The 21,679-nt window shown below is 48.4% G+C and overlaps 9 annotated features.

The window, feature by feature from the left end:
• Window positions 1,568–2,442: an enhancer, noted in NCBI's record as "H3K27ac-H3K4me1 hESC enhancer chr1:53863151-53864025 (GRCh37/hg19 assembly coordinates)". NCBI's record gives its function as "activates a minimal SCP1, AML or CMV promoter by ChIP-STARR-seq in naive H9 embryonic stem cells {active_cell/tissue: H9 hESC(naive)}" and the evidence as "EXISTENCE:reporter gene assay evidence [ECO:0000049][PMID:30033119]".
• Window positions 2,443–3,318: an enhancer, noted in NCBI's record as "H3K27ac-H3K4me1 hESC enhancer chr1:53862275-53863150 (GRCh37/hg19 assembly coordinates)". NCBI's record gives its function as "activates a minimal SCP1, AML or CMV promoter by ChIP-STARR-seq in primed H9 embryonic stem cells {active_cell/tissue: H9 hESC(primed)}" and the evidence as "EXISTENCE:reporter gene assay evidence [ECO:0000049][PMID:30033119]".
• Window positions 5,781–6,464: an enhancer, noted in NCBI's record as "H3K27ac-H3K4me1 hESC enhancer chr1:53859129-53859812 (GRCh37/hg19 assembly coordinates)". NCBI's record gives its function as "activates a minimal SCP1, AML or CMV promoter by ChIP-STARR-seq in primed H9 embryonic stem cells {active_cell/tissue: H9 hESC(primed)}" and the evidence as "EXISTENCE:reporter gene assay evidence [ECO:0000049][PMID:30033119]".
• Window positions 5,781–7,024: a biological region, named in NCBI's record as "hESC enhancers GRCh37_chr1:53858569-53859069 and GRCh37_chr1:53859129-53859812".
• Window positions 6,250–6,544: an enhancer, noted in NCBI's record as "tiled region #1525; HepG2 Activating DNase unmatched - State 12:CtcfO, and K562 Activating non-DNase unmatched - State 12:CtcfO". NCBI's record gives its function as "activates a minimal TATA promoter and a strong SV40 promoter by Sharpr-MPRA in HepG2 and K562 cells {active_cell/tissue: HepG2 | K562}" and the evidence as "EXISTENCE:reporter gene assay evidence [ECO:0000049][PMID:27701403]".
• Window positions 6,302–6,411: an enhancer, noted in NCBI's record as "active region_1049". NCBI's record gives its function as "activates an Ori minimal core promoter by ATAC-STARR-seq in GM12878 lymphoblastoid cells {active_cell/tissue: GM12878}" and the evidence as "EXISTENCE:reporter gene assay evidence [ECO:0000049][PMID:35858748]".
• Window positions 6,336–6,565: a silencer, noted in NCBI's record as "fragment chr1:53859028-53859257 (GRCh37/hg19 assembly coordinates)". NCBI's record gives its function as "represses an EF-1alpha promoter that drives an FKBP-Casp9 reporter gene in an ReSE screen in K562 erythroleukemia cells {active_cell/tissue: K562}" and the evidence as "EXISTENCE:reporter gene assay evidence [ECO:0000049][PMID:32094911]".
• Window positions 6,482–6,541: an enhancer, noted in NCBI's record as "active region_1048". NCBI's record gives its function as "activates an Ori minimal core promoter by ATAC-STARR-seq in GM12878 lymphoblastoid cells {active_cell/tissue: GM12878}" and the evidence as "EXISTENCE:reporter gene assay evidence [ECO:0000049][PMID:35858748]".
• Window positions 6,524–7,024: an enhancer, noted in NCBI's record as "H3K4me1 hESC enhancer chr1:53858569-53859069 (GRCh37/hg19 assembly coordinates)". NCBI's record gives its function as "activates a minimal SCP1, AML or CMV promoter by ChIP-STARR-seq in primed H9 embryonic stem cells {active_cell/tissue: H9 hESC(primed)}" and the evidence as "EXISTENCE:reporter gene assay evidence [ECO:0000049][PMID:30033119]".

Raw genomic sequence — 21,679 nt, 5'->3', positions numbered from 1 at the left:
GTCACGTGATCATAGGACAGGGGGCCCTTCCCTTTTAGGTAGCCGAAGCAGAGAGGTAAGGCAGCATATGTCAGCGTTTTCTTCTATGCACTCGTAAGAAAAGATCAAAGACTTTAAGACTTTCACTATTTCTTCTACCACTATCTACTAAGAACTTCAAGGAGGAACCAGGAGTATGGGAGGAACATGAAGGTGAATAAGGAGCGTGACCATTGAAGCACAGCACCACAGGGAGGGGTTTAGGCCTCCAGATGACTGCGGGCAGGCCTGGATAATATCCAGCCTTCCACAAGAAGCTGGTGGAGCGGAGTGTTCCCTGACTCGTCCAAGGAAAGGAGACTCCCTTTCATGGTCTGCTAAGTAATGGGTGCCTTTCCAGGCACTGGCATTACCGCTTGACCAAGGAGCCCTCAAGTGGCTCTTATGCAAGCGTGACAGAGGGCTCACCTCTTGCCTTCTAGGTCACTCTCACAATGTCCCTTCAGCACCTGACCCTATACCCGCCGGTTATTCCTTGGTTATATTAGTAACACAACAAAGAGTAATATTAAAAGCTAATGATCAATAATGTTTATACTAATGATTGATAATTGCCCATGATTATCTCTATATCTAATTTGTATTATAACTATTCTTTATTCTAACTATTTTCTTTATTATACTGCAACAGTTTGTGCCTTCAGTCTCTTGCCTCGGCACCCGGGTAATCCTTTGCCCGTACACATGAAGGTGTTGACTAACGTTGCCGAGTGTATACCAAAATACAAAATACTAAAACCGAAAGCCACGCGGCAGATGGGAAGATGCAGCAACGTTTCCTCCATTCTGTCCCACACAGATGTATTCAATGACAGAGGATTCTGGAGTCCAAGGTTCCCCCAGGGTCTCTCTGTGTCTCTGTCCGCCCTTCCCAGTGGTGTAACTGGGCAACTATGTCTTACCTTTGGGCCTGTTGCTGTGAAATAAGGATAGAAAGCCCCACGACTCAGGGCTGTTGCAGGGTGAGAGGTCATAACTGCGAGGTGCTCATGACAATGCAGAGCCTCCGTAGATGGCAACGATGGGAAACTGACGATTACTCCCAGTCCCTGGGACCTTCTGCTGTGGGCGTGACCTAGCAGCTGGGGATCCTGCCTGCAAAGGCACGGCTCCTGCAAGCGTGTTGCAGGAAAAAATGAGATGTCCCCTGGGTGCAGGGACAAGAGTACTTATGAAACTCTTGTCTCAACACAGCACTTTAACAAGGTCTCTTATTCCCGAGTCCAGCTCAAGATCCCTCCTCACCAGCTTTCCAGAAATTGTTTTGCGATGCCCAGAGGAATGAGGCCTTCAACCAAAAGCAAACACCTTTTGACCATTTGAAAAGTGCACTGAATATATATTTTGAAAGCTGGGAGTAACAATAAATATGGTATCATAAAGAATACATTTGAAAGGAAATTCAGATATGCATTTGAAAAGAAAGGAAGCCCCAGTGCTGGCCCAGAACAAAGGAGAGGCAGCACCGAAGGCACAAAACGTTCAGGACATGTTTTGTCAGTGGAGTTTGTAACTTTTAGAATACATGACAAAGCTCTTCGGATTTCCAAGGGGCTGATGTCATCACCAAGTTCCACCATTCCCAGTGGAGGCTGAGACTAGCAATACATGTGAGGAGGCCTCTCAGAGGCTTCCCCTCTGGACTGTGAGGGCTGGAGGCATAGTTAGGCAGTGGATGGGGGAAGTCTTCCAGCATGGCTCAGGAGCACCAGTGTAAGTATTTGCATGATGGCACAGGCCCGACCTTGGATACTGTGGGGCTGCAGGACAAACCCATCTTCATCATCATCACGGCAAGCTCATATTGAGTGCTGACCCTGTGAGAGGCACTGTTTGAAACACTTCCCATCTTTCATATACATCTAATTCTATCCTGACAACAGCCCTATGTGTGTCGGTGCTATTATTGCCCCCCACCTTTTTTTTGTTTGAGACAGAGTCTCACTCTGTCGCCCAGCTGGAGTGCAGTGGTGCAATCTCGGCTCACTGCAACCTCCGCCTCCTGGGTTCAAGTGATTCTTCTGCCTCAGCCCCCCAAGTAGCTGGGACTACAGGCGTGTGCCACCACGCCCAGCTAATTTTTTGTATTTTTAGTAGAGACAGGGTTTCACTGTGTTAGCCAGGCTGGTCTTGAACTCCTACCCTCAGGTGATCCGCCCACCTGAGCCTCCCAAAGTGCTGGGATTACAGGCGTGAGCCACTGCACTGGGCCTTATTGCCCCCCTCTTTTAACCGATGAGAAAACTGAAGCATAGAGAGGGGAAGTAGTTTGCTCAGGGTCATACATGAAGGACTGGGGAGGGGGAAGGGAGTTGAGACGCAGGCAGGATAAATCAATAGAGGGGGCATTCTTGTTCACAGAGCATTAATCTAAACATTGGACTTGAAGGGTATTGGCTCCCTAATCCCTAGAAGGGTACAGGCCTGGGGACGCTCATCCAATGCCTGGGAGTGGGGGAGGTGGGTGCATATCAGGACCATTTAAATAATGTTGAGAAACAGGAGAAAGGGGCAGGGTCCATAACCTCCCGACCAAGTAGAAGGTACGGGGGACTCCTCGGTGTTTCTGCCTAAGGAACATCTGCATGGCCTCACATTTGATGAGGAAACTGAGTCCAAAGGAGCTAAACAACTTGGCCAGGGCCCCATGGTTAGTCCAGAGCTGGCACTTGAACTCAGGTCTTCAGGGAGCTAGCTTTGCCCATAGCTCTTTAAGAACTGTCAGAGTCCCTCTCACTCAGACCCTAGGAACTGGGGCCCTGAGAAGTGAAGGCTCTTGTTGCAGGCACAGCTGGCCAGAGCCACAGCCTCAGCTCTCTGTCTCCCCCGACCCGGCTCCTTTGTCTTATTCATGTGGTTCCTACGCCCCTGAGGCAAAGGCGAGACCCCTGTAGCTGCCTCTTCTGCCTGGCTCAGGAAGGGCAGGCATAATTGAGGAGCATAAATATGGCTTTTGAATGACCCCTTGATACCTGCCCATTGAGAAAAAGAACATCCATACCGGGAAAATTAAACGAATGCACTGCTCAAAAGACTTTGAGTGGAGAAGGCTCCTGATCAGATAGATCTGGGAATGCAGCCAGGAGAAAATCACTTCCATAGCCCTGCTGGGAAGCAGGGACAGTGACCTGGTTCGAGAAACCTTTGGTTAGAGACTGTCCTGACTGTCCCCTCTGGTAGGGGCTCCTGCCACCTCTTTCTCTCCTAGGACCACATTATCCACAGTTGTTTAGGACCTCTGATTGTCCTCCCTTAAAATGAAAGGGGTAGTCCCTCCGCTGGGGGTGGATAAACTGAGTATATCCTTACAACGGGATACAGCTTGGCAATGGAAAGGAGGAAGCTTCCCGCAAGCGCCACAGCAGTGAGGCTCAAAAGCACTGTGCCGAGTGAAAGAAGCCAGCTTGGAAGCTGCATGAGTAATGGTTCCATGTCTATGACATCCTGAAAGAGACAAACCACAGGGATAGAGATGGAGAGACCAGTGTGGCCAGGGTGGGGAGCAGGGGAAGGAATCAACCACAAAGGGCCCTGAGGGGATCTGGGGGTGATGGAGATGCTCTGAATTTTGTGGGGTGATGGAAACACTTTGTCGAAACTTCTCAAACTCTGTTAAGTGAATTTTACTATATGCGAATGATGCCTCAATACAGCTGATTGAAAATTCCTGGGGAAAGAGAAAGGAAGGTGGCAGCCACCGGCTCTGCCACTGTTGCATCCCAGTCCCTGCCTTAATGGTCACGTGGGAAGAGCCCCTTCAGTGTCTTTGGGGGAGGTCCAGTGCCACCTGGCACTCCCACCTTGGTGTGAGGGAATGGCCCAGAGACAGCTCCACCAGGAGAGGCACCTCCAGCCACAGCCCCCGCAGATCAGGTTGGTAGCCGGGTTTCCAGCCTCCGTACAGCAGGCACCCTCCTGGCTGGGTTCTGGAGGACTGCTGCTTCCTTTGTTGCAACCCTCACCAAGACTGAGCTCTCCCTGGGTGCGATCCCTGCGCAGGCACTGGGGACAAGGGCAGAGCACACTCTGGTGGGGTAGCAGAGCCAGCTGCAGACAATTATGACAGGTGAGACAGAGGGAACCGTGCAACTGCAGAAGCCCAAGAAGGGGCTAGCCCGAACCTGATTGGAGGTCAGAGAGGCTTCCTGGAGCTCAGCTGGGACAGGGATGAGGAGGAGTTGGCTATTGAGAGGCAGAGGCTGGCACGAGCCAGGGGAGTTATGAAGCAGCTTGGCCTCAGGGGCCGGGGGTTGGGGGGAGGCTGGGGGAGGGGTGCGGCAATGCGTTCTTCCTGGAGAATTATGTATGTGATGGCTGGTAAGCGCCCTCTTGATCTTGAAGGCTCATGAGTGTTTGACTCTGCACCCTCCTGAGGTAATGGTGGAGCTCCAGGAGCAACATTATCCAATCTTCATTTTAGGAAAATTGCCGTGGCAGCCAGTGGGGCCCAGGAGTTGCCACTTTCTGGGTTTCACATGCTAGCATTTGGGTTTTATTTTTCTTTGTAATATCTCTGGTTCATAAGGTTGTCACCTTTTAATTTTGCCATTAAAAGCAACCACAATTCTCTCCCACTATGTCAAAAATAAAAAATTTAAAAGTGAGGGGGCAGATTTTAATACCCAATGTTGGAAAGAAACTAATCTCAGAATATGGACCTATCTTTAAAACTGAATACATGCAGCTTAATAAATACTGACCATGGAGCCCCCACAGGCCTGAAAAGACTTTCCCAGGTCTTGCTGAAGTCTTCAGACAGGCTGGGATTCCAGGCCTTGGCTGAATCACCCTCACGGACAAGAAACAACCAGAAAGCACCCTAAACCATCTGCAGGGAGAAGGGAGAAGCGGGCAGGGGCTGGAATAGCCAGAGAAGGTTCTAGAACTGTACTGTCTGATAAAGTCACCACTAATCATGTGTGGTTTTGGTTCCTTGAAACATGGCTAGTCTGAATTCAGATGTGCTGTTTATACACTGAATTTCAAATATTTGGTATAAAAAATGTGAGTTATCTTAATAATTTTAATATTGATTATATGTTGAAATGGTAATATTTTGGAAATATTGGGTTAAAAATATTATGGAATTAATTTCACCTGTTTCTTTTCCGTTTTTAAAAATATGACTTGTAACAGATGTAAAATTCCTTATGTGCCTTGAATTTGTGTCTCTCATTACATTTCTGTTGTTCTACAAGGCAGAGCCCAAGCAGTGGTAGAGCGAGGGGCAGGAAGTGGTGCTGCCCTAGCAGCCAGGGGGCACAGCACGGGGGGCAGGGGGTGGAGAAGGGCACATCCAGAGACTGGACTCCATTGATTATGGGGAAGGATTGTTGGTCTTTAGCAGAGAAGCGAGCTGTGATTGGGAACAGGATCTCTCTGTGGCAGCATGCAGGAGATCAAGCCTGGGCAAAGCGGTGGCCAGGAGGCTGGAGTCATGGTCTAGTCGTGGTCTAGCGGGATGCAGCAGTGGCAGAGCCAGTGGCTGCCACCTTCCTTCCAGCCCATGAGGGTCTGGACAAGGTGAGATGGGAAGGATGAGGTTGGAGTGGGCAGAGAAATGGTGAGAAGCTGTAAAAGGCTGACAGTGCCCCACAGGTTTGGGACGGACACATGGATAGACCTCTACCACCTCAAGTCCCTCAGGGTCCAATCCTGAAGCCCAGAAAAAAGTTCAGGGCACCTGGAGGGGTTGCTGCCATGGGGCTGCAGAGTTCCCTATTGTTAGTGAACACACACACACACACACACACACACACACCTGTCCCAGAGCTGCCAGGGCTGAGCTGGCAGGAGAGCTTGCAAGAACTTCTGCCCTCTTCCAGGCTGGTACCACAGTACACCTTCTCTCTGAGCCACGGGACGATTTGCTCCCACATTTGTTTACCTGAGCCACAGCCAACACGTTTAAGACATGCATGGCTTTTACAGGGCACCTGTGCGAGCATCATCTCGAGTGACACACAGAAGCACCTTGCAAATTGTGTTCACCTATTACGATCTGTCGCAGGCTACCTGCGAAGTCAGCAAGCACTTCAACCCTATTTTACAGGGCCAAGCAGCACCTTGAGGAAGTGAAGGGATTTGCCCAGACAGTTCCAGTCATTTTGCGGTGGGCCAAGGCTCCAACCCTTGGAGCCTGATGCCAAGAGGGAGAAGAGAAAATATCTTGGACACATTTCTGTGTACAGCAGCTGGGTGCCGTCAGAGGCTGCAGGACTTGACCTCTCCTCTGGGCTGCCATCTGACCATGCCCCCGAGGAATGCTGGCCAGCATGGAGGTCCCCAGGCCTAAAGAGGCAGGTCTGCGCAGGCTCTCTGAGCCTCTGTCTACCCAGGCAGGCCTGAGCTCTGGGGACGCCGTTTTTGTCTGTGGCCAGCAGGGGGCGCCCCAGGACAAATGACTTTTTCCGGACTCGCCCACAGGGATCACTCAGGAATTGTGTCCTTTATACACTCAGAACCCATGTCCTGCTTTTCCTCTTTCTGCCAAAACCTAGATGGGCACACATCTTCAATAAATTGTGTTCGGACAAGCCCTCTGCACTTGACACCCTTGATCAGGCCCAGTATTTTCAAGAGAAGGCCTTGACAATCCTTATAAATGGGGTTCATGCCCTAGGAGCTTTTTCCGAGATGGCGGGTCCTATTTATCAAGGAAGGGGCACAGGTAATCCTGGGGTTAGGGGATGGGAGATACTGATTGGAAGAGGCTCCCGGGGGACCCCTACAAGCATTCACCAGGGCCATTTCTTTTTCTTTCTTTCTTTCTTTTTTTTTTGAGATGGAGTCTTGATCTGTCGCCCAGGCCCGAGTGCAGTGGCGCGATCTCGGCTCACTGCAATCTCCGCCTTCCGGGTTCACGCCATTCTCCTGCCTCAGCCTCCCGAGTAGCTGGGAACTACAGGCACCCGCCACCACGCCCGGCTAATTTTTTGTATTTTTAGTAGAGACGGGGTTTCACCGTGTTAGCCAGGATGGTCTCGATCTCCTGACCATTTCTTGACACACAATCAACCCATTCCCCCATTAGGCCCCTCACTCTCAGGGGATCTGCGTGGCAGGAGGAGACCTTGGGACCCCCTCCCATAACACTCACAACAAGGCTTTAGCCTCCTAGAGCCCGGGCAGGTTTGGCTCTGACCCAAGGCCAAGTGTGTGTGTAGGTTCATCTTGAAGTCAGCTCCAGGGTCAGCTCAGAACTGCCCTGGCTGGGCAGTGTTGTGTGGGCCCGGAGCAGGCTCTGCACTGGCTGTGTTAGGGTGAGAGAGGGCAGCCTTGCTCGGGGGGGGGCGCTGTGCAGACGAGTGTCTCAGAGCGGAGTTCGGCGATGTGATTAAACATCACGAACAACAGAGTTAATCCCACGCCCAAGAAAGAAGTGATGGCGATTGCGTGGTATAATTGGGCAGAAAAGAAAATGTGTGTGTAAATGACTACAATTAATGCTGCTTTTGCTCAGCAAACCTTTCACAGCTTCCCGTTCTCTGCCGGTGCTTTCCTGTGTAAGGCAGTGTTGGTCATTTCTCCTGACACCAATTTCATAGCCATCCTATGTACCCAAACAGAGACAGGGATTTTCCTGGAGGCACCTTCCTTTCCCTACTTGTAGCCTACATGGTTTATGTGGTGCTGACCCCATGCCAACCTCAGGGGTAAGCACATGGTGCAGACATGCCCCATTAGAGTACTGCATACACTGTGCCCAGTGACTAGTGTAGGGATGACTGTGCAACCCAGTCACAGTCAATGAAATGCAGCTGGATTCTGGTTAGATCTGTAAAAAAAAAAAAAAAAAAAAAAAAAAATCTCTCTCTGCTGGCCTTGATGTGGGAAAAATGAGACCAGCCCATGGAGAGAGTGTGCCAGGGAATTATGTTGATTAAGAAAATGGCAAAGCAGAGGGACCAGGTCCTCTTGACTTTGCTTATCTGCTGGATCCAGCCATGCCCGAAGCGAACCTGAGCCTTTTAGTTATGTGAGCCAATACATTCAATTTTTTGCTTATGCTAATTTGAGTTAGGTTTATGTCACTTGCAACTAAAAATCTCCTATCTGCTGCATACTACATACTACATACTAGGGAGATTTAAGACCAAAGAAAGATGGAAGTGAGAGGGAACCAATCAGATATGAGGGCCTGAACTTGAACAGGTACTAGGGAGAGAGATGTAGCCAGATCCAAGAAGAACTCCGCAGGCATTGTCAGTGGGACTCCCTGAGTGACTGGATTTGTTGGAAGAGGGAGAGAGAGAAGTGAGGATGAGTTAGTGGGGGCAGGGGACAGTCTTCCATTTACAGAGGCAGAGACTATGAGGTGTGGGCATGTGGAAAGACACCAACTTCCACTTGGCAAATATGTAATCTGGGTGCCCCTGGGCATCCTGGCATTTGTCCAGTGGGCCTCTGGCTGTGTGTGTCTGAGGGTCAGAAAGCTCCAGGAGGCCGAGTGTGGTCACTCACACCTATAATCCCAGCATTTTATTATAGGAGGCCAAAGTGGGAAGATTGCTTGAGCCCAGGAGTTCAAGACCAGCCTGGGCAACATGATGAAACCCTGTTTCCACAAAAAATGAAAAAAATTAGCTAGGTGTGGTGGCATATGCCTGTAGCCCCAGCTACTTGGGAGGCTGAGGCACGAAGATTGCTTGAGCCTGGGAGGTGGAGGCTGCAGTGAGCCGTGATCCTGCCACTGCACTCCAGCCTGGTTGACAGAAGGAGACATTGTCTCAAAAAAAAAAAAAAAAAAAAAAAAGAAGGAAAGAAAGGAAAAAACTCTGGGCCTGAGTAAGCTGAGTGGTCAGCAGAGGGGAGCGGCTGAAAGCTTCGAGGGTGGAGATGTTCCCCGGGAGATGGGAGAGTGTGGCAGAGGAGGCGGGCCCATGCGCTGAGGGGCACCTATGTTAAGGGAGAACAAAATGCTGGAAACAGAGAAGAAAAGGGTTTGGAGCTGACCCTCCAGAGAGCCCTGTGGGAGTCACTGCCAGCCCCCTTGTTAACCTGGCTGCCACCAGCCTGGAACGCCCGTCCCTAAGGGCAGAGACTATGTCTGATTCATTCCCCAGGGTATTCCAGCAGCAGCCTGGTGGTAGGCACTCGGTAACTTCTGGGTCCATGAGTGAAGGAAAAGGGAAAGAGCAGAAGGGCTGGTGGACTACAGATTGGAATTTGGCCCAACTTCTTTAAAAAAAAAACAAAACAAAACAAAAAAACACATAGATTGGAACATTAGGAAACCAGGTTGGTGAGTTCCTTGGAGGGGGTGCCTTTGTCTGGTGCCTCTGTGAGGCCTGTCTCCTCCAATTTCAGGGCCAGAGTCCTCCCCACTCCCCTTCTCCTCCTTCTGCTGTCTCAAGTCACAGCCAGGGAGGAGCTGGCAGGAAAACAGGCCACTTGGTTTCATTTCCCTTTTCGAGAGCCTGGTGTTCCCTTAATGTATGTGTCCCCTGGCACCTGGCCCTGGCTCCTCTGCCTCCTCCCGAGGCAATGTCTCCACTCTCAAGGCTTCCAGACGCTTCCCTCTGCTGACCATCATGCTGTCTGCTCAGGCCTGGAGCTCTCTGACCCGCAGACACACACGACCAGTGGCCCACTGGGCAAGCACCAGGATGCCCAGGGGCACCCAGACTGCACAATTGGGATGTGGCAGCTGGTGTCTTTTCACGTTCCTGCTCCTCATACTCTCTGCCTTGGTGGATTACATGATCTTGACCCCCTGGCAGGTCCTTCTCTCTGTCCCCCAAACCCACTCAAATCCAGCTACTCCTCAAGTCCTTTTGAGGCTGCCTGCTAAGTTCTCAGATCTGCCCTTTGTTCTTCCTCAGGGCTTGCTGAGTCCATGCCCTCACACTGGCTGGTTCTGCTCATTCTTACCCATCCTCCTGGCTCCTGCTGTGATCTGAATGTTGGTGTTCCCCCAAAATTCATATGTTGGAACCTAATACCCAATGGGATAATATAAAGAGGTGATTAAGTCATGAGGGTTCCACCCTCATAAATGGGGCTCATGCCCTTAAAAAGATGCTCGGGGCCGGGCGTGGTGGCTCATACCCATAATCCCAGCACTTGGGAGGCCAAGGGTGGATCACTTCCGGCCAGGTGTTTGAGACTAGCCTGGGCAACATGGTGAAACCCCGTCTCTATTAAAGAGACAAAACAGATCCTCAGGGGGCCTTCTTTGCTCCTTCCACCAAATGAAGACACAGCAAGAAGTTGCGGTCCATAAGGAACAGGCGCTCGCCAGACACCAAACCTGCCAGCACCTCAATCTTGGACTTTCCAGCCTTCAGAACTGTGAGCAATACATTGGTATTGTTTATAAATTACCCAGTCTACAGTATTTTGTTATAGCCACCTGAATGGACTAAGACAGCCCCCAAGCTCCCTGACACTGCTGGCGCCTGCTGGGAACCAGACTCACCCACCCCCCTCCCCACCCCTGGGCCACAACTGCTGCCACCATCCACCAGTCTCCTTTGTTATTTCTTCCCCTTCCCCTTTCTCCCACACTTCCCCCCACCCCCAGCCTGGGATCCAGACACTGTCCTTGCCAAATGGGGTGGAGTGAACTCCTTAACATGGCAGGTGGGTACTAGGAGTGCCAGGCTGGACATTGTAGGTGAGGAGAGGCAGATGGCCTCCTGCACACACTGGGAGCTGGTGCACCACACTGACTGTGCTGCCTGGGGGCTGACGCAATGGGACACAAATCCGAGCTGTCCTGGCAGGTGTGTAGTGGTGTCTCCTTGTGGTTCTAATCTGCTGTCTTTTAATGACCCAATGATCCGGGGCATCTTCGATGTGCTCATTTGCCATTCATACATCTTCTCTGGTGAAATGTCTGTTCAAATCTTTTGCTCAGTTTTAAAAATTGAGTTTATAACCTTATTGAGTTGCAAGGGTTCTTTATATAGTCTAAATACAAGTCCTTTGTTGGATATATGCTGTTTTTGTTTACAGCTTTATTGAGATATAATTCACATACCATAAATTTCATCCTTTTAAAATGTAAAATTCAGTGGCTTTTAGTATATTCACAAAGCTGTGCACCGCTCATCATTATGTTGGTATATAATTTGCAAATATTTTCTTCCAGTCTGTGGCTTGCTTTTTCATTTTCTTAACAGATTCTTTTTTTGTTTGTTTGTTTTGTTTCGTTTGTTTTGAGACAAAGTCTCACTCTGTCGCCCAGGCTAGAGTGCAATGGCGCAATCTCGGCTCACTGCAGCCTCCACCTCCTGGGTTCAAGCAATTCTTGTGCCTCAGCCTCCCGAGTAGCTGAGAGTACAGGTGCGCATCATCATGCCGGGCTAATTTTTGTATTTTTAGTAGAAATGGGGTTTTGCCATGTTGGCCAGGCTGGTCTTGAACTTCTGATCTCAAGTGATCCACCTACTTCGGCCTCCCAAAGTGCTGGGATTACAGGAATGAGTCACTGAGCCCAGCCTTAACAGATTATTTTGAAGAATAAGCCTTTATAATGTTGATGAAGTCCAACTTACTGATTTGTTTTCTTTTATAATTTGTAATTTTGTGTTGTATTTAATAAATCTTTCCCACACCCAAGGTCATTAATATTTTCTCCTATGTTTTCCTCTAGAAGTTTTAGAGTTTAGCTTGTTCTCAAGCTGATTTTTACATATAAGGTAACTGTCAAGGTTCATTTTTTGTCATTTGGGTCATACAACTGTCCCAGCACCATTTGCGGAAAAGTGCATCCTTTCACCTTTCTCAAAAATCAGTTGTACGTGTGTAGGTCTTTTACTGCACTTCATTGTGTTTCATTTATTCATTTGTCTATTTTTATACCGGTATCACACTATCTTACTTATTGTGGCCTTATAATAAGTCTTAAAACGAGGTAGTGTGTGTCCTCCAAGTTTGCTCTTTTTCAAAGTTGTTTTGGCTATTCCAGATCCTTTTGCATTTACATATAAATAATTGAAATCAGATTGACAATTTCCACACACATACAAAAAAGCCTGATGGATATAATTAGGATTGCATTGAATCTACAGACCGATTTGAGGATAATTAGCAATAATACAGAGTCTGCTGGTTCATGAACATGAGATATTTCTCTTTTTATTTACATCTTCATTTCTCTCAGCAATGTTTTGTAAATTTTCAATGTTTGGGTCTTGAATTTTTTGACAAATTTATTCATAATATTTCATATTTTGATGAATTGTATAGTCTTACTTTTTTAAATATAAAAATTTAAGTCTTTGTTCCTAGTATACACACAATTTCTGTATTTCTAGTATATAGAAATACAATTGATTTTTGTGTATTGACCTTGTGTCTTTGTTAAACTCCCTATTATTTCTAGTAATTTTTTGTAGGAGCTATAAGATTTTCTACATAGATGATCACATCTTCTGTGACTAAAGAAGTTTTCCTTCTTCCTTTCTAATCTGTAAGCATGTAATTTCTTTTTCTTGCCTTATTGCACTGGCTAGAGCCTTCAGTATAATGTTGAATAGTAATGATAGAGAGAATATCCATGCCTTATTCTTAATTGTAGGAGGAAAGCATTCAATCTTTCACCATTAATGATTAATAATGACACTAGCTGAATAATTTTTGTAGATGCCTTTTATCAGGTTGAGAAAATTTCCTCCCATCCTTAGTTTGCTGAGAACAATTTTTGTTATAAATGGAGACCAGATTGTATAAAAAATATTTTTCATTTATTAAGATGATCATATATTTTTCTTTTTTTAGTCTATTAATATGCTGAATTACACTGATTGGTTTTTAAATATTAAACCAACCTTACACTCCTTACACTCCAAGTGGATAAACTCCACTTGGCCATGATGTATCAACCTTTCAATATATTGTTGGATTCCACTGGATAACATTTGGTTAAGAATTTTGTATCTATGACTATTGTGACAAACCATTCCCTATCTTGTGTGAGTCCAGGCGTCACTCCCGCGCTCCTTTCTGGTGGCTTTTCTGCAGCCTTAGGTAATCTCCTCTCACACAGGCATTGATCAGTGCTCAGCTGAAGGCACAAGGGAGGCCATCTGCAAATTGCCGGAACTTTCTCTGTGGGCAGCTTTCCCTTCTTGGATCCTCTGCCCTCTGAAAGCTAGCGCCATGGCTCCCTGGACTTTCACTCTGTTTCTTCAACTCAGGGAGGGTAGGCTCCACCTTGGTGCCCTCCTGCCCTGCAGCCTCTCCCCAGGCTGGCAGCTGGGCAATCCAACATGCTCGCCTTTGAGTCTCCTCCCTCGGGGGCCACTGTCTGAGCTGCCTGGTCCTCAATGTCTGAAATTCATTGTTTCCTGTATTTTGTCTGGCTTGTTGTTTCATCTGGGAAGGTTAATCTGGCCCCTGCTATTCCATCTTGGGAAGGAGATTACGTTTGTTTTTAGATAGTTGTGATCATCTGGCCATCTAATTTTATATCCTGCTCTTCTCACTCAACATTTTCAAATAAGCATTTTTATGCTTTTTATGCTTTTAAACTTTTCATAGATGTCACTTAGAGGAATGTGAAATGCTCTGTCAAGGCTGGGGCCAAGTGTCATCGATCTTGCTCCATGTCAGGATAGTCCCCCTTCCAGCCAAGTCAAAGGAGGTCGGCCCTCCCCACGCAGGGGCTCTGTCCTCCCTCTCACGCTCTTCCTGTCACTCTCAGACTTCCTCAGCAGAAGACGTTTTGTACCACGCACTTCAATGAGGTGGTGATTAAGGACTGCAGAAGAAGCGTTTTTCAATTTAAACCTATTTTTTTCTTGAATGGAGCAGGTGTCTCAAAGTCACAGTTACAGGAATGAAAGAATCACATTATTCACAATTTGCCTGTAATTAAACTCCTCCACTTTCTGAATGAGGGCCTGTGCCCAAAATCGTAATAACTACAGCTCCCACTTGAGGAGCCCTTACTGTCTTTGTATCAGGCACCATCTTGAGCACTGGAGCCAGACTGTGGTTTGCTCCAGATACTGGTGAACCTCAACAAGGCCTCTCTCTTGAGCCCAGAGCAAGCCAAGTCCTGTTGTTAGCTGCACTCCTGCTCCAACTGAGCTTCCTTTCCTCCAGCTCTGGGAGAGATCTGGAGGAGGCTTGGCGTTAAATGCTTAATCCTCGCAAAAACCCTGTGAGGGACAGATAGGGAAATTAGGGCTCAGAGAGGTGAATTAACTTGATCAAGGGCACACAGCAAGTTGGTGGTGCTGCTGGGATTCTAATCTGGACAGTCTGACTATGCTGGAACCATTTCTTCTAACCACTGGGATTTGCTTGGCTAATAGAAGCCCATTCACCCTTCTCTCTGCAAGAAGCCCAAGGGAGCCGGGTGGCTGAGATAGCCTACAGGTGCCAAGCCCCAAGGAACACTTCAGTCCTGGGACTGACCACGGAGTGTCTGAGCATACTGAAAGCCAAGAGTGACACAGAGGCCACGCTTCCGTCCTGGAGGGAGTGGAGTAGGCCCTCTGCCCAGCACAGGTCTCTCCTGCCCTCAGGCCCACACCCCTGCCCCCAAGTCCCAGTGCCCTTTTCCTGCCCCGACCTCTGAAAGAACCACAAATTCTTTAGTGAGATCAGTCACTGTCCTGCCCACCAACATTGCCAGCATGTTGCATTACAGTATTCTCTTCTGGAATTCTCTGGTTATCATTCTTCTAACTTTACCAATAAGGAAACCAAGACCGGGGAGCGGGGGGTAATTCATCCAAAGAAAGTGATGGAGACAGGATTTGAACTGAGGTCTGCTAAGGATTCTGTTATACTCAGCTGGTGGCAAAGTTATTTTAATTGACTGCAAGTCCTCTTGTCTCTTATCTCATTTGTGAATCTACAAGTACTAACTGAGCAAGTGGAAAACAGAAGGTGCTGTGTCCCTCCTGGGGGTTGTGAAGGATCAAGCAGATAACGGATATTGCATTCTTAATCCAAGGCAGCCCTGACCACACAAATTGATTCTGAAGCTTCCTCTAAACCATGCTGTGGATTAATTACGGTGTGGACCAGTTAGGGTCCTTGGTTAAGGGCCACAAAAGCAGACGTAACCAACTTAAGCAGGGAAAGTGCTTCCAGTTGAAAGGATATTGGTTTGAGCCAAGGGTGGCCAGGCCACTGAGGACTCAGCCACCACTGTACCTTTGAACCAGCCACTTATGGTGGCCCTGCCTGGCAGCCCCGCACCATGGCAGCAAGTCACACAGAAGACTCGGCTCCCTCTGCGAGACTGCCATTGTCACCATCACAAATAACGGCAACAAGTGATCTTTGCAGAACCCTCATGGGGCCCAGGCATGTGCTAAAGGCTTCTTCTGTTTTAACTCATTTTATAGATGAGGGAACTGAGGCATAAAAGGCAAAACAAGTTGGCCAAGATTCCAGCCGGTAAGTGGGAAAGCCAGGATTCCACCCGCTGGCTCATTCTGGAGCCCATGTTCTTAACCTCCACGGTTTACTTTCTTGCCATCACCTCATATGGTCCTTTCTTCCGGAGCCAAGGTCCCAGCATGGTTCCCAGCTGAACCCATGTCCCAGATTTCAGGGAGAAGAGGGGAGACCACTTGTTCTGTTTTGTGTTTTTGTTTTTGAGACAGAGTCTCGTACTGTCACCCAGGCTGGAGTGCAGTGGCACGATCTTGGCTCACTGCAACCTCCACCTCCCAGGTTCAAGCATTTCTCATGCCTCAGCCTCCCGAGTAGCTAGGATTACAGGCATGCACCACCAAGCCCAGCTAATTTTTGTATTTTGTGTACAGATGGGGTTTCACCATGTTGGCCAGGTTGGTCTCGAACTCCTGGCCTCAAGTGATCCGCCTGCCTTGACCTCCCAAAGTGCTGGAATTACAGGTGTGAGCCACTGCACCCGGCCAAAAGGAGAGCACCTGTTCTGCCTCAATTTCTACAGTGGGAGGTATGGCCCTGCATCTCAACTCTTTTGAAATGCCTCCGCAGATGGAAGGGGACTCAGATATTGGGCACTCAATAGCCTCAAGTGCCCCCACAGGACTGAAGTGACCCCTAATCAGGACCATTTGCCAGGTCCAGCCCTCAAAACCTTAGGCTCCCAGTGGGGAATCTCAGATACACAGTCTTTGGGGTCCTTAGCAAATAGGGTCATTCATGGGCTCCAGGGTAGAAGAGCTAACTTGTGGCATGGGCTGGTGATCCTTCATGGGAAAAGCTGGGCTGGGGTCCCCCAAATGCCTGGAGGTCATGTGCATACAGCCTGGGAAGCCACATTTCCCAAGAGGGTGTCGGCAGCCCTTGACCCCAGAGCTGGCATCTCTCACCCCATTTTCCCAAGAGACACAGCAGCTGCTTCCCCATCTCTGGAGGTGCATCTCAAGGAGAGCGAGCCGCTATCTTTGTTTGGCATTTTTCGATGTCAGCAGTAGAGAAGCAAAATCAGCCCAAAGGGCTGTTTAATTGCAATATAAAAAATCATGCTTTTTCAAGGGAAAAAAGGAGAGTTCTCCACCCCATCGGTTTCCAGTGCAATACCGTATCTGCTGATTCTGCCTCATTCAAATCCAAACAAGTACATTCATCATCCCAAAAAGTGCCATTCAAGCGGCTGCTCTCCGCAGGGCCATATTTTGCCTCAAATGTTCCCTAGCTCAATTAAGCCTGGTGCAAGCTACTGAACTCCTAGAGGAGTGGGTGCCAAGGGGGAGAGGCTCCAACAGTGCCTTGGAAAATGCTTTCTTGCTCCTCTCGTTCTCCCACGGTGGAAGAATCATCAGCAGGAGCCCTGGATGAAGTCAGGAGTCCCATCCCAGAAGAATGCCAGCTGTGACCCGGGCATGCCCCTTCCCCTCTTGAGGCCTCAGTTCCCTATCTGTAAAGGCAGAAGCTTGGGCTGGATCAGGGATGGCAAGTAGGTGAAACGTGCACCCCCGTTCTCGCTTCCTTGCTCATGCCAACATCCCTAATTACTCAGGGCTTTATTTACTGAGCCCAGATCCGATCGCAGAATCCTTCTCAACACAGCACTCCAGGCCACCAGCACTTGAGATGAAGTGTGCTACCATCCTGGGCTCCATGTGTCTCCTGGGTTCTTTCGAAGTCACACGCTTGAACCTTGGCAGCAGTGATAACAGCCAACAGACCCTCACTGTGTGCATCCTGTGGGCCAGACAGCATTCTGTGTGCTTTGCCTAAGTGAGTATTTAACACACCCAGCAACCTCATTACTAATGTCTGCACTTTATGGATGAGGCCGAGGTTACACAGATGGTTAGTAGAGGAGTTGGGATTCAGATTCAGGCCGTCTGGCTCCAGATTTGGAGCTCTTAACCCCTCACTAGGGTGGACACAAGTCAATCAACACAAAAACCAGCCTCTGGGCAGCATCAGGGGCTACACCTGGGTCATCTTTATGTCCCCATCACTCTGTACTCAGGCAACGTTTGTTGAATAGCAAATGAATAAATGAATGAGATGAAAATTAGACACTGGGAACAGCACAATCATAATGATATTAATAACTAATGGCTGCTGTTCATTGAGTGCAAACTCTGTGCCAGATGTGACACTGTCTCACTTGGGAGGAGCTCAATAAATATTCGTTGAAAATGACGATCCTAATACTTTCCCTTGGTGTCCCTCCCCAACTCCCACCCCACCTCTGCTCCTGTCTCCTGGCCAAGGACCAACAACCAGGAAGGAAACAGTCCAACCACGCTCAGCAGAGGCTTGTCAATTTTTTTAACTGTGACACACAGAAAGGAATTTGTTTTATACACACACCTTGAAACAACAGTCCCACAAAACAATATTTACCCTTCCTAATTGCAAAGTATTGTGATCAATTTCTAGTCTATCATATCAAAAGAAAACCCTAGTGGTGATGCACTAAGTCGATTTCTGGGTTCAGTAGTGGGTTATGTGATTTGAAAAACATCACGCGAAGGTCAGGCACTAATAAGAGTTGGTATCGAGTGCTTACTACCAACTGTGCAGTTAGTCATCCATTTGACTCATACAATGGCCCGGTAGTTAGGTCATTACTATCCCTATTTTTCAGATGAGGGAATTGAGACCAGAGAGCTTGAGTTACTTAGTGGTCCATTCTCAATCTATCAGTCAACTATTGCAGCAGAACAAACAACTTCAAAATCTCAGTGGTGCAAATCAATAAACATTTTTTTCTCACTCCCAAATTTGTGGGTTGGCTGGAGTAGCTCTGCATTCCATGTCTCTCATCCTCATCCTGAGACCAGCAGGCCATCCAGGACATCTTCTTTCCCCAGCAACAGCAGAGACACAGAACAAGCCTCACAGCAAAGCACATTTCAAGCCCTGCTGCATCACACTTGCCACCCCCAAGTCCCAGGGATGCACTGTTGCACTTTTAATTAAGCAATTTGGGCTCTTCAGAAGAAGAGAAAAGACACAGATCTACGCGTAACAGCACAGCAGCACTACATATTTCATTCTGACTGCTTTTGGAGTACGGAGTCAAATGAAAACAGCATTTAAAAGTCATCCATTCGCTTGAGTCCAGGAGTTTGAGACCAACCTGGGCAACATAGTGAGACCTTGTCTCTACAAAAAAAGTAGCTGGATGTGGTGGGGCATGCCTGTAGTCCCAGCTACTCAGGAGGCTGAGGTGGAAGGGTCACTCGAGCCTGGAAGGTCCAGGCTGCAGTGAGCCAAAATCGTGCCATGACACTCCAGCCCGCGTGACAGAGCAAGACTTTGTCTCTAAACAAACAAACAAACAAAAAATGTCATCCATTTACATACTCTATGGTAAGACTTACAGTTCTTTGTTTCTGTGCTTCCAGTGAACTTATTCCTTTAAGAAGGAGGGAAGGGAAGAAGTAGAAGAGGGAAGGAAGGAAGGAAGGAAGGGAGGGAGGGAGGAAGGGCGAGAGGGAGGGAGGGAGGAAGGAAGGAAAGAAGGAAGGAAGGAAGGAAGGAAGGGGCTGGGGGAGGGAGAGAAAATCCACAGGGTAGATATGTGGGTGAATGGCCTCCCATCTCTGAGCTGAATTTCTTCACCTTTAAAATGATGATACAGATGAATACATTCTTAACATGCCGTTGAATGACAAAATTAGGTTACAGCCCAGCACATAAAGGAGTGCCTCATTTTTGCAGCTTTGTATTTGTATAATATATATGCACGTGCATACATGTTTAGGTGCATAGAGAAGTCTCTGAAAAAGGTTCACCCAAGTCTTACCAGTGATTCCCTCACAGTGGTGGGATCTGGAGTGATTTTTGTTTGCTCTGTGTAATTGCGCTGTTCTGCGTGAATGTTTTTATCAGGAAAATTCATTACGTAGATCATCAGAGAAAGCAACAAGGACAGTCATAGTTTGCTAAACAAAACCAATATCACCAGTGCTGGTGCCCTGTTCCCTGTGCCTTCTGCTGGAGGCAGCCCCCACCCGCAGCCAGCCCTCTTTTGAAGCCTAGGCAAGCTTATCTCCTGGACAGGGTTCAGGCCCCCACACACTCCCTCCACATTCCAGCCTCATGTCCTTGTTCCTCCTGTTCAGCACCCTGACATCTTATCTTTCACATTCCATTTGCCTCCCCATTCCCCAGACGTTTAACAGCATGGGGTCAATCTCCACCACCACCCTGTGAGGCTGCAATGCATTCATCCATCCTTCCACCCATCCATTCGTTCATGCATTTTTCCATATAGTCACCCATCTATCCATCCATTCATCAACATTCACTAGAGCTCACTCTGTGCGTATGTCTGTGCTGGCTGCCAGGGACCCAGAGATAAATCAGATGCCAGCCTTCAGAGTACCCCAGGCTAGCATGCGCACGTACTGGCTTACAGTGGCATGGACAAAATGCTGCAGGAGCACAGAGGAAGACCTTGATTCTCCTGGTCTAACCCCCAGGTTTACAAATAGGGAATATCAATTATCACCTCCATTATACAGACAGGGCACAACAGAGGCCACGATGTCAGAGCTAAAAGGCCCTTGGGGGACTCTATTAGGGACAGCAAGCACATGGTGTGTGTAGCATCACTCCCTGCATCTCAAGACCATGGCAGACATTACTAATCAAACAAGCATCTTTCTCATGAAGCCGAGGCTCCTCTGAATCAATGTCAGTTCTCTGTTCCAGGCAGCCGTACCCGGCAACTGGAGTTGGCATTTGCATCATCAAGTCCAGTCTTGGATGGGGGAGTGGAGACTGACAGGCTCAGAGGCACTGAAGGTCACTGTGAGTTAATCTCCTGAGTTGTTCTCAGAGGGATCTGACCACAGAAGGGTCATGCCAGAATTTACTGTGTGCAGCTCCAACCTGCCTCCCTGCACCTTCAACAGAAGAACTTTTGCTGTCTCTGCCTTCTGCGCCCTAATGGCAAGGGAGGAGGCATGATCCTCAGCTGAAGAAATCCAAGAGGCATTGTGGCAGGTGGCTTTTTGGCGGACCCCATAAATTACCAAGTGGATTAGGAAGGATACATAAGCCGGAAGACGCCAGGCCCACACACAGTAACAGGCCCGGCCTGGACGTATTTCATTTCTGATCACACTGGACCGAGCAAGAATTATGGACAAAGTCCATAAACCTAAGCACTGTGCCTGATAATTTACACTGCCCACTGTCATTTTTAATGCATGGTGTCTGCTTCTCTCCAACCTGGGAACACTAAATCTGGCCACTTGAAGAACCACTTCACGCTACAATATGCCAGGAGTCTTTTTCCAGATTTGGTTCTCATGGATCATCTGCACCCACCAGGAGCCCTGAGTCCCCACCCGTAACCCTGCAGGGGGACTCAACAAGTGGTTGAATCTGGCAGAGCAGGCACTGGACACGTGGCCTGTATGTTACGCATCAAATCTACAAGCACAAGTGCCCAGATCCATACCCCTTCCCTCTAAAGCCCCATCACATTTTAGGCATTAGAAGGAGTTGAGAGACTTTGGAGTCACATGGACTTGGATTCAAGTCCTAATCCTGCCACTTATGAATGGCAGGACTTTGCATGAGGCATTTAAACTCTCTCAGCCTCAGGGCCCTCATTTGTAAATGGGCTACCAGCTCTGCTTCATGGGATCGTTGTGGGAGCCCGTGCTGAGAATATATATGCGACCCGTAACACAGCTCATGGCATCCAGTGGCCCTTAAACACAGCAGTTATTATCATGGGTAGTGTCCAGACACAGGATGATAGACTTGCCTTCTGTGGCCTCAATAAGCCATCCTCAGGCCAAGGTCCATAGAGTCCCCTGCTGAACACAGAGGATAGACTCTGTATGTGGTGGGTGGGTGGATGGATGGGTGGAATGAATAGGTGGAAGGATGTTTGAATAGATCCTATTTATGGCACAGAAAACATCAAGGCAGGGATTTGAGAGGGCTCAAATTTGGTCTCCCTGATGTCAGCCTCAAAGGTAACATTTCCTGCTCCCCTCAGTAACCCATTGCTCATCCACACTAGAGAAGCTAAGAATTTCCTTAAATCCTTCCCAAACCTATTTAGACCCTCAGCAGGCCTACCTAAATCCTGCCTGCCTCCTGCCTTGTTCTGCCACATCCAGTCTGAAACCCTTAACTTGGCACTCAAGGTCACTAGGACCAGGCCCACCCTCGTATCCCCTGAGCTGCACACAGCACGGTGTACTGTTAGGGACAGAGATGGCCCTGAGGAGTGTTGGAAGCAGGGCTCTGGACT

Source organism: Homo sapiens, chromosome 1 (assembly GCF_000001405.40).
Source record: "Homo sapiens chromosome 1, GRCh38.p14 Primary Assembly".
NCBI lineage: Eukaryota > Metazoa > Chordata > Mammalia > Primates > Hominidae > Homo > Homo sapiens.
This window is presented reverse-complemented; position numbering and strand designations above follow the sequence as displayed.